The 11,326-nt window shown below is 47.2% G+C and overlaps 1 protein-coding gene and 1 long non-coding RNA gene across 10 annotated transcripts in view, besides 2 other annotated features; both read right to left on the reverse strand.

The window, feature by feature from the left end:
- CEP104 (centrosomal protein 104) overlaps positions 1 to 11,074 on the reverse strand; it is a 45,126-nt gene extending 34,052 nt beyond the window's left edge. For 5 of the 9 annotated variants that reach the window (XM_024451106.2, XM_024451102.2, XM_024451104.2 and 2 more), the window contains exons 1-5: positions 10,752 to 11,074; positions 9,737 to 9,864; positions 6,158 to 6,284; positions 2,471 to 2,644; positions 1,338 to 1,494 (exon numbers count right to left, since the gene is read on the reverse strand). In XM_024451106.2, coding sequence (XP_024306874.1) covers positions 1,338 to 1,494; positions 2,471 to 2,644; positions 6,158 to 6,284; positions 9,737 to 9,830 — 552 coding nt within the window. In that variant the 5' untranslated portion in view covers positions 9,831 to 9,864; positions 10,752 to 11,074. The remainder of the gene's footprint in view (positions 1 to 1,337; positions 1,495 to 2,470; positions 2,645 to 6,157; positions 6,285 to 9,736; positions 9,865 to 10,751) is intronic. The other 4 variants (XM_047435158.1, XM_047435161.1, XM_005244815.5 and 1 more) reach the window with 2 other exon arrangements.
- LOC124903829 (uncharacterized) lies at positions 3,674 to 5,582 on the reverse strand. The gene is made up of 2 exons (XR_007065439.1): positions 5,549 to 5,582; positions 3,674 to 5,165 (listed from the first exon to the last, which is right to left on the reverse strand). It is a non-coding gene; the product is annotated as an uncharacterized LOC124903829 (long non-coding RNA).
- Positions 4,461 to 4,961: an enhancer, noted in NCBI's record as "H3K4me1 hESC enhancer chr1:3767162-3767662 (GRCh37/hg19 assembly coordinates)". NCBI's record gives its function as "activates a minimal SCP1, AML or CMV promoter by ChIP-STARR-seq in primed H9 embryonic stem cells {active_cell/tissue: H9 hESC(primed)}" and the evidence as "EXISTENCE:reporter gene assay evidence [ECO:0000049][PMID:30033119]".
- Positions 10,741 to 11,240: a silencer, noted in NCBI's record as "silent region_126". NCBI's record gives its function as "represses an Ori minimal core promoter by ATAC-STARR-seq in GM12878 lymphoblastoid cells {active_cell/tissue: GM12878}" and the evidence as "EXISTENCE:reporter gene assay evidence [ECO:0000049][PMID:35858748]".

The raw sequence follows: 11,326 nt of genomic DNA on the forward strand, positions 1-11,326 counted from the left end.
AAGTTTTAACATAGCCTCAAAATGAGACATCCACGTGAGATTCAGTATGGAGCTCATCTTTGAAGGATCTTGGGAAATTAGACAATGAAAAGTTAACACAGCTCAGTTCCCAGTTGGTGAGTCTCACCTGAGGTGGGGAGTCACTTTTCCATCCTGCACCCCCAACCACTGTAGACTAACCCCACACCGCTTCCAAAAATGCAAAGGTTCAAGACAGGCACATTTGGGGCAGGAGGGCAGCTGGCACAAACTGGGAAACCGAGCAAGTTTTGAAATGAAATTTTTTAGTCTTTCATGTCAGTGAAGTGCTGCTTTAGATAGTTACTGCTTTTAAATGCAGGGCACATATATTATCATTCATGACGAGATTATCTGAACATAAGGACAATAAATAATCTATTATTTAAAAATCTTTATTAAAAAAACAAAACTCCAAACTGTTTAAAGAAAACCAAGACAACAGCCAGGTCATTGCTGGTAAATACATGCAGGTGGGTGGAGGAAGGAACAGGGTTAAGACTCATTCTTCTGGCTTCCTGGCGTGTTATGCTGCAAGGGGCCAGGCAGCTTAATTGGACCTTTGCGCTCTTGTCCAGCTCACCCGCTTGGTCTAGAGATTTGATTTGCTGGGTGCTCACATTCCTCTTGGAGGGGGCAGGGAGAGTTGTAAATGCTTGTGCTAATTAACAAGATTGCTTTGGACACAATTGATTTCTACTACACTAATCATGTGAGAAAAAGAAAAAAAGAAGGAAAGAAAGGGAGGGAGGAAGGAAGAGATGAAGAATTAGCAGCCTGAAGCTGGAGAGATTCTGGATTACATGCAACATTCATGTGTCCACAATTTCCACCAGGGAATTTACCTTGTGCACGTTGGGAGGGTTTATTTACAACTGTGCTGTCCTACACAAATAGGATGTGAGCCACATATGTCATTAAGGTTAAGTAGGCACATTAAAAAATTTAAAAATGCAATTAATTTTAAAAATATAGGTTAACACAACATATCCAAAATATTATCATTTCATCACATACAATTGACATAAAAGTTCTCATGAACTCTTTCGCGTTCTCCTTTTGTACTGAGTCTCTGAAGCCCACTGTCTGGTGATGCTGGCAGCAGCTCTGGGCACTAGGCCAGTTCGTGGTGGGCACTGGCCACGTGTGCCCAGAGGCTGCTGGATCAGACAGCACAGCTCAGAGAGCTCAGCAGTCTCCCAGAAGAGATCCTCTCTTATAAGATCACCTTGAAAATGCATCTAAGAAAAGATACGTGACCACATAATCCCACAAAGAAGGTAGGGGCAGAATCAAAGGCGAAGCTGCATGCATCTTACCTGATTATATATGTTGTATTTGTTGACATGGTTTTGGTGAAAAATCAGTTTAAGAAATTGTCCTACTGCATCCACATAAACTGATTTTAGTTCCCGGGCTTTGCAACCTGTCTTTTCATTATCACAGAGAGACACGTAGCTGAAAAACAAAACACAACTGAAGAATTTGAAAATGTGCTGTTCAATAAAACTGCTCCCTACTCTGATTGAACTCAATAGGCTCATTTATGTTTATTGTTTTATTTTTTAAAGCTAGACTACCCCTATGCAGGATCAACAGGTTTGAATAAAAGCTAAGTCTAGAATGAAAAACCTAGGAAAAACCCCTAGAACTCAAATTCTAATTAGTATTCTTCTTTTGTTGTTGTTGTTGTTGTTGAGATGGAGTCTTGTTCTGCTACCCAGGCTGGAGTGCAGTGGCGCGATCTTGGCTCATTCCAACCTCCACCTCCCGGGTTCAAGCAATTCTTCTGCCTCAGCTTCCCAAGTAGCTGGGATTATAGACGCTCACCACCATGCCCGGCTAATTTTTGTATTTTCAGTAGAGACACGGTTTCACCATGTTGGCCAGATTGGTCATCTAATTAGCATTCTTAAGAAAATTTCCACATCTGAAAAGTAGAGTTGAATAGCAGAATTCATAGAAATTATAGCGCTGCTTTTTAAGCACATTCAATAAGAGGCAGGTGTTAAGAAACTGTGTACTCTTGAACCAAATAGAAGTACATAACACAGGACCAAAAGTTAAGGGACAATTCATTTTTAAGAGCTTTCAGGGCCGAGCGCGGTGACTCACGCCTGTAATCCCAGCACTTTGGGAGGTCGAGGCGGGCGGATCACGAGGTCAGGAGATCGAGACCATCCTGGCTAACATGGTGAAACCCTGTCTCAACTAAAAATACAAAAAATTAGCCGGGCGTGATGGCGGGCACCTGTAGTCCCAGCTACTCGGGAGGCTGAGGCAGGAGAATGGCGTGAACCCGGGAGGCAGAGGCTGCAGTGAGCTGAGATTGCACCACTGCACTCCAGCCTGGGTGACACAGCGAGACTCCATCTCAAAAAAAAAAAAAAAAGAGCTTTCAGGTAGAATTAGCCTAAAAGCTGCCATGATACATTTTAAATTTCATTCTTACCCAAGTCTTCGAAACCGCTCTGCTTGATAGGGTGCAAAATATTCAGGCAAGCTTTCACTAATGTAGAACTCAATTTTACTTGAAATCATATACTGGTGAGCAAGTAACTGCAGTTTCCTTATTCGACATCTCTCCACCATTTGAAGGACAATTTCTTGTGGAAACTGGCAAAATCTGAAAGCAAACACATTTTTATATTTTCTGAACAACTTCTGCAGAGGGTTTCTAGATGCTAGCATCTCATTCTTGCAGGTAAGAAGCATTAACCACACACCCACTTTGAACAGAACAGTCTGTAGGTACTGATGGTACAAAGATGCCTGCGACATGATTCCTGTTCTCTCGAGCTTTTCTTGTTGGAGCTGAAGCTGGGAATTGAAATTTGACTTGATCTGCCTGTAACCCTATAGGAATCATACTCTTGGCAGCTAGTAAATGGTCTGATGTGAAACCTGCAGTTTTTCATAAGATAAATCAATCTTATGAGGCGGCACTAGTGGGCAGGACGGAGCCAAAGGATTTTCCACAGGAACTCAAATGCTTAAGGGCCCCAAGGTATCAATATTTAAGGAGTGCCTGCCTTTCACGCATAGTGGTCTAGGGAGACAAGCCTATGCTATGGGCCATGCTGGAGCTTCTTTGCTCAAAAGTGACATAACTTTTTTTTTTTTTTTTTTTGGGAAAAGGTCTCGCTCTGTCACCCAGGCTGCAGCGGTGTGATTATGGCTCACTGCATCTTTGATCTCCTGGGCTCAAGTGACCCTCCTACCTCAGCCTCCTGAGGAGTTGGGACCACAGGTGTGTGCCACTGTGCCTGGCTAAAATTTTGCCCAGGCTGGTCTTGAACTCCTGGGCTCAGGGGATCCTCCCCCTTCGGCCTCCCAAAGGGCTGTGATTACAGGTGTGAGCCACTGGGCCCAGCCCAAAAGTAACACAACGTATTAAATAACTAAGAGTTGGGTAGAGAATCACAGCAGTCAGCAAAGACCCCACACTGCTTCCAAAAATGCAAAAGTTCAAGACAGGCACATTTGGGGCAGGAGGGCAGCTGGCACAAATTGGGAAACCAAGCAACTTTTGAAATGAAATTCTTTAGTCTTTCATGTCAGTAAAGGGCTGCTTTAGATAGTTACTGCTTTTAAATACAGGGCACATATATTATCATTCATGGCGAGATTATCTGAACATAAGGACAATAAGTAATCCATTAGTTAAAAATCTTTATTAAAAAAAAAAAACTCCAAAACTGTTTAAAGAAAACCAAGACAACCGGCAAAGCTTTGAAGTTGTATACAGTCATGCACTGCATGAGACAGCGGTCCCATAAGATGACAACACTGTATTTTGACTTAGCTTTTCTATGTTTAGATATACAGATACCTACTTGTGTTACACTTGCTACCGTGTTCAGCACTGTCACGTGCTGTACAGGTTTGCAGCCCAGGAGCAATAGGCTATGCCACAGAGCCTAGGTGTGTAGCAGTAGGCTGTACCATCTGGGTTTGAGGGCACTCTAGGTGTTCGATGAAATCGACTGATGATGCATTTCTCAGAAAGAATGTCCCCATGATTGAGTGATGTAGGACTGTACTTTAAAAAATCCTTCCAAAAAGGGCCTATGATTTAGCTACTCAAATGTAGCTGATGAACACTTTATAGATGAATCAAAAATACCTTTCAAGCTGCATATGAAAAGAAACCACACAGCTAAAAAGGCTAGTATGCATTTATCCCTTCAAGATAAATTGACAGATACAGATTTTTTAAACTAAAAATAATTTGACAACCAAAAAAATGGATGCCCAGGGGCTACGGTTGGTGCAAACTTTACGGTTTCTTGGAAAAACGTCTTGCTCTGAAGGCTTCAGGCTCTCTGAATTCTGAGGTCACATGAACGGCACTGGGGGTCTCCCTATATCTCTTTAACCGCCCCGTCAGTGTCTCTCCTGGAAGTGCATCAATCTATGCCCTGAGCTCCGACGTAGAGGGTCCCACATTTTCTATGACCTGTGGTAACAGGGTGCCTTGTACTGTCATTGGGAGGCTCGGCTTCAGGGTATCCTCCTTTGTCTTTCTGCGATGTGCCTGACCTCAGGGAAGTCAAGAGACCCCGAGCCAAACCCAGTGGGAGTCTGTGGTGACCAAGGGCACACAGATCCTTTTCTTGGGTACATCCTCTGAAAGCACGTTACTGAAGTGAGTGTAGGTTATGCCCTTTAAAGCAATACCATGTCAATGCACAAGAGAACCATACTGGTGTGATTTTTATAACTACTACCAAAAAGGGTGGCTGTGTGTATACTTGAGAATCTTCAATCCCCAAATAACACGGAACATGTGCTGTGAGCGTACAGGACCTCTGCAGAGGGATGCTCCTGCCTGGGAGAGGCATGAGCAGGGTCATGGGGAGTCTGGGAGGAGAGGGCAGAGCGCTGGGCTGCCCCCGTGGGTGTGCTCCTCCTCCTGCCCTCCAGCCACAGGCTGGACCGTGTTAATGCTGCCTGCATGGGCAGTGCATCGGCCACGGCCTGGGCAGTATCAGGACGCTGGCTCGCCTGCAATCCCAGCTCTGCGGGTGACAAAGGCGCTGTCTGGCCCCTTCTGCTTGACTCTTGCTTCATTTCTCAGTTCATTCAGAACTCACTTCCGGGAAATGCAGGGACAGGGGGTCTTATTTGTTGCATCTCCTCAAAAACTCCAAAAGGAAAATACATTTTAATTGTAAATGAGATTTACATTCAATTTTCAGCAACTTGACTTCTGAATAAAAGCAAGACAGAATTATATCACTGAATTTAAAATGCCATACATATTTACGCGTTCGCGGGTTAGGAATAAATAGTAACTTCTCAGGCTTGAAAGCAAGTCATGAAAAGCACAGAGCTGACGAGGTGGGATGGGGTGGAGGGTGGGTTTTTATTCACATGACTGAGGGCGGAGGGCAGATGCCAAGTGAGTGCATGAAGGGGCTCAGCTGTAAAGACCAAAGCAGCAGAGGCAAAAAGACTTCAATGTTTTAGGAAAATAATCAAGCAAAACACTCATCTAATGAACATTTGTTTTGAGACAGCATCTTACTTGGTCACTCAGGCTGGAGTGCATGGCTATCACAGCTCATGGCAGCCTTGGACTTCTGGGCTCAAGGGATCCTCCTGTCTCAGCATCCTGAGTAGCTGGGACTGCAGGCGGGAGCCACTGTGCCCAATTGAACATTTTAATAAAGTATACGCGTGTTTAAGAGAAATGTGAAAGACATATCTTTTGGTTAAAGCTTGGTGTCATATAAAAACAGTTAGACACACACTCTTTCAGCACAGGAGCCCAACTGTAAAAGCAAAAAAAGCTGCACTCACAATCTCTGCACAGAAACTTGATGAGAATGTGCAGCCCAGCGTGTGATCAGGGAGTATGGTTAGACAGTTACGGGGCCTCATTTCTCTTCCTTCTCCTCCACATTTGCACATCTTCTTAAGGGAGTGTGGGTGAATGTTATAAGGGAAAGAGGGTCAACATATTTTCTTTAAAAATATAAACAGAAAGAGATGCCTGACACTGCATGCTGACATCCTTGGTCCTGATGTCCGAGTGATAGTAAAATCTGAGGCTCTGAATGAAAGGAGCCCCTGTACCCTCCTCAGGGACCCGAGGCTGCCTCCCAGCCCAAGCCCCGCCCCGTCCAGTCCTCACCTAGGTGACCGCCACCCACTGACAGTTGGCGCGTGGATCATGAGCTCCCGGGCACTGAAGCCGTCTTCGTGTCCAGATGAGCTGACGACTACAAATCCAATCTTGTGGGGCATTCTGCACGTTTGGGCTGTTTATAAGAGCAGGAAAAACTTCTTTAAAACAAAGGAATTCACTAACACATGGACATTTAAAGGGTTGGTTCATGCCTTGCTAACACACACAATAATGCACTAAGTATTCAGAATTTTCCCATCTCTTTGAAAAGAGTCTATTTTTTTTTGTTAAACACTTTTATAGATGCTTCTGGTTCTGCTTAAGATATCATTTAAGTTATCTTGACTTTTCCCAAATATGTGTCCAAAAAGTTTGACCAGTGCTGTGGATTGTGCTCCCCAAAAGGATACGCTGAAGTTCCACGTGTGGTACCCGTGAAGGAGACCTCATTTGAAAATAGGGTCTCTGTGGGTGTGATCTAGTTAAAATGAGGTCCTCGGGGTGGGCCCAATGCAACGTGACTTCTAAGAAGGGAAGAGACACAGCCACACAAAGGGAGAGCGCCATGTGGTGACAGAGGCAGAGACCGGAGCAACGCATCTCTAAGCGGGCCGGCCAAGGACGGCTGAGGATGGCCAGCAGGCGCCCAAGGTTAGGAAGAAGCCAGGAGGGATCCTGCCCTACAGCCTCCAGAGCGAGAGTGCAGCCCTGTCCATGCAGCCATCTGACTTCTGCCTGCAGAATGAATTTCTGGTGTTTTAAGCCATCTAGTTTATGATATTTTGCTATGTCTAGAATATAAACACAAACTTCTTTCTATTAGTTAGGAAACTAATACAACCAGTATGTTAATTAGTTATACAATACCAAGGGGAAAAAGGCAACGTAAGCGCTAGCATTAACAACTGCTAAATGAATGTGTATGACCAGAAGGAAGAGCAGGAATGACAGGCAGGCATATTAAGTACAAAAAGGTTCATGCAGAGTTAGGTTGAGGGACTGACTCACAGGACATTGAGCCCAATTTGCTCAGGGACTCTGGGTTACTTTTCAGTTACTAAGCCAGTCAGATTCCTCCTAAGTAAGCCAATTTGGGTTAGGTCTAAATCATCGGGGGAAAAAAAAAAAGGCTCCTCACTAAACCAGGATAAAGAAGACTCCATCAGAAAGTTCTCTGGGATAAGATATACTATTAATTGAAATTCCCAATAGGAGGTAACATATAAACATACCCCCACATAAAACTGTACGTATTTTGACATGCTTGATGCATGATCTAGATCTTTCTTTTACTTTCATTGAGAATTCGAAGAGGACCACTTCAATATATTAATTATTGGCTGGCATTATTGCTAATGTTTCTTGGAATGTATGAACAAAAGCACTAAAATAGAATGATAAACCATCGAGATTCTAGTTATTTTTTGCACAAAGTTCACTGCAAGATGTTACTGTATATTAAACAAAAACAAAACTAAACCAACTCAGAAAATAATTTTTAAAAAGCCCCCCAGAACAGGATGAGGCTGGGTGTGGTGGTTCCTGCCTATAATCTCAGCACTTTGGGAGACCGAGGTGGAAGGATCACTTGAGCCCAGGAGTTCGAGACCAGCCTGGGTAAGAGAGTGAGACCCCGTTTCTAAAAAACCAAACAAAAAAAGAATTTTGAAAGGATGAGTGTGATTTAACCCACTGTTAGCTGCACGGCCCCACCTGCACTCTGGGCAACCTATGCCAGAAACGCACAGCCCATGGCTCCCACTCCTTCGTGACCTGGCACTTCTGGGTCGCATGGGCTCTGAGCCTAGAGGTACTTTTCCCTTGGCCACAGCATCTCTCTTCACCCACTCCCCATCCAACAGTGTGCCAGGTCTTATCAGGCCTGCCCTTCCTTCTGATCCCACTGTCTTTTCTAGACAGCAACCACCTGGTGTCCCCACCTGAAGCGCCTCCCTCAGACAAGTCCTAAGTTCCTATTGTGTGAACGTGCCTCAGGCCCAGCTCCAGTCATCTCCATCCATGTCCTAACTCCAGAGCTCTTGGTGGGCTCCCCATCTAGGGATCAATGCGCCAACTCTCCCCTGACCCTCACTTCTTGTCCTGAATTCTGAAGTCCAGCCAAACAATCAAAGCTCAAAGTTAATACCCTTCAGCTCTGAAGCCCTCCAATCCTTTCATCAGCTTTTTTTCCTTTTTTGAGACAAGAGTCTCAATCTATCACCCAGGCTGGAGTGCAGTGGCGTGATCTGGGCTCATTGTAACCTCTGTCTCCCTGGTTCATGTGATTCTTGTGGTTCAGCCTCTCAAGTAGCTGGGATTACAGGCATGCACCACCATGCCTGGCTAATTTTTTTTTTTTTTTTTTTTTGGTATTTTAGTAGAGACGGGGTTTTGCCATGTTGGCCAGGCTGGTCTCGAACTCCTGGCCAATCTGCCCGCCTTGGCCTCCCAAAGTGCTGGGATTACAGGCATAAGCCACCATGCCAGGCCCCTTTCATCATCTTTCAGGGCAGGGCTTGTCACTCCCTATTCCACCTTGAAAATACCTCTTGTGCCCAGGCTGTTGGGTTCCAGTCTCCAAATTTTTTTTTTTTTTTTTTTGAGAGAGGGTCTCACTCTGTCACCCAGGCTGGAGTGCAGTGGCGTGATCGCGGCTCACTGCGACCTCTGCCTCCTGGGTTCAAGTGATTCTCCCGCCTCAGCCTCCCAAGTAGCTAGTATTACAGGTGCGCACCACCACACCCAGCTAATTTTTGTATTTTTAGTAGAGATGGGGTTTCACCATGTTGGCCAGGCTGGTCTCGAACTCCTGACCTTAGGTGATCCACCCGCCTCAGCCTCCCAAAGTGTTGGGATTACAGGCGTGGCCAATAAGCCCAGCCCCGATTTTTTTTTTTTTTTTTTTTTTAATACAGGTTCTCGCTCTGTTGCCCAGGCTGTACTGCTGCAGTGGCGTGATCATAGCTCACTGTAACCATGAACTCTCGGGCTCAAATGATCCTCTTGTCTCAGCCTCCTGAGCAGCTAGGACTACAGGCACATGCCACCATGCACAGCTACTTTTTTTTTTTTTTTTTGTAGGGATGGGGTTTCACTGTGTTGTCTAGGCTGGTCTTGAACTCCTCCCACCTTAGTGTCCCAAAGTGTTGGGATTACAGGCGTGAGCCGCCGAGCCTGGCTAGTCTCTGAACCTAACCAACACTCTCTGTTACGGCTCGAAGACATAAATATAGGACCTTTTCAGTCAAACAGAAGGGTGTTTCCAGTATGCTATACTGCCCCCAACAAATCTAAAACAAAGTACTGGCATTTAAGAACCAGCTAAGAGAAATGCACAGGGACTGTGGAGGCAATGCTATTACCTCAGTCTGGTATTTGAAAAGGATTCCTTTTTTAGTCTACCCCCTCCCAAAGACCTTCCAGTTGTACCCTAGGGTCCCCTCTGTGTAAACCTTCAAGTGTTACATAAGATACTTGGAATGTCACTGAAGGATGCCACTTTTAGGCTCTATAAAAATCACCATTAACAATTTGGGAAGAAGCAAAGCTCTGTTGAACATCCAGTTATTGGCTGGTCTTCCTCACCAGAGGCATGAGGGATCCCTGTTGTCCCAGGGGCAGCCATCGACATCCCGACAAATGCCAGAGTACATCTCTCCCCAGGCAGCGATGACTCCATGGCGGTCTCATCCCTCACTACACTTTTCCTAGTGCTGGCATGGTAAAAGGCAATTAACTATAAATTAAACGGAAACTCAGTGTAGCAACTTCCATTTTGTTACAAGACTAGGAAACAAAACTTGTCTCTGATTTTCTTTTTAAGAAGACTTTTAAGTGTGACTGCGCGCGGTGGCTCATGCCTGTAATCCCAGCACTTCGGGAGGCCGAGGAGGGCGTATTACTTGAGGTCAGGAGTTCGAGACCAGCCTGGCCAACATGGTGAAACCCCGTCTCTACTAAAAATAAAAAAATTAGTCGGGCTACTCGGGAGGCTGAGGCAGGAGAATCGCTTGAACCCGGGAGGCGGAGGCTGCAGTGAGCTGAGATCGTGCCATTGCACTCCAGCCTGGGCGACAGAGCGAGACCGTCTCAAAGGCTTATGGGTTTCTGATCAAGTCATCTTAGCGACTGAAAGGGCTTCAGAGAAATCTGAACTTAAGTGCAAACAAAACAAAACAAACTCCAAAACAAAAAACAACCAACCATCAGACTTTAATCTCTATAGGGACAGAGCAATTTTCCTCAAACTTTTGCTCAGCAGAACACATCTGAAACTGGCCCCCTATGTGCTACGCATCCAGAAGAGGAAAAGCCGGATCTGAAAACAATATTCCACGCTAAATGGGCCGTCCCGGCCGGGGCAGGCGGTCCCAGCACCCGTGCTGAGCTCCCCGGCATACGGCACGACGGGGCCGCGCCGGCTCTTCGGCGACAGCAAGGCCGGCATCTAACTCCACACCGTCCGCGCTTGCACCGCGCACCCAGGCTTCGTACCCAGCTCCCAGGTGGGGACCGCGCCCCCGCGGCGCCCGCGCCCCGCGCCCCGCGCCCCGCTCCCCACTCCGGCCCTGGGCCGGCGCCGCAGCGGCCCGGAAGGTACCTGCTTAGAGGGAAGGGCCCCGACTGGCGCTGCCGCGGCCCCGGTGGAGAGGGCGGCTGGGTCGGAGCGGTGCCGCGGCCCGGGGAGGCGGCCAGGCGGCGCCTCAGCACCCGGACCCCAGGGGCGTGCGGGACCCGGCTCTCGTGGACTTCCTCGGCAGCCGCCGCTTCCTCAGACGGAACTCGGGGGGCGCCCCTTCCGCCGCCCCAGGCCGCCTTGCACCCCAAGCTGCTGCGGCAGTGACAGGGAAGAAGCAGACCCGGCCACCTCTGCCCATAGCCCCGGCCGCAGCCTCCACTCTCATGACAACCAAGCCCAGCCCTGGGCCAGGGCCTCTGCGCGTGCGCGACCCCGCCCCACCCCAGGCCGCGCCTGCGCACAAGGGGAGGGCTCCGCTACTCTGGCCCTCAGGGTTGTGTAGTTTCCGGGGCCACGGCACCTGGGCACACCAGGTGGCGTCGCGCCTTTGCTTTCCTGAGCCTTCTGAGTAAGGTAATGTGGTGTCCGTGGGGCGACGCCTGCGCACAAGACCGCGTCGGGCCTCACTTTTCCCAGGCCTTCTGGGTAATGTAGTT

This window comes from Homo sapiens, chromosome 1, assembly GCF_000001405.40.
Source record: "Homo sapiens chromosome 1, GRCh38.p14 Primary Assembly".
Lineage (NCBI taxonomy): Eukaryota > Metazoa > Chordata > Mammalia > Primates > Hominidae > Homo > Homo sapiens.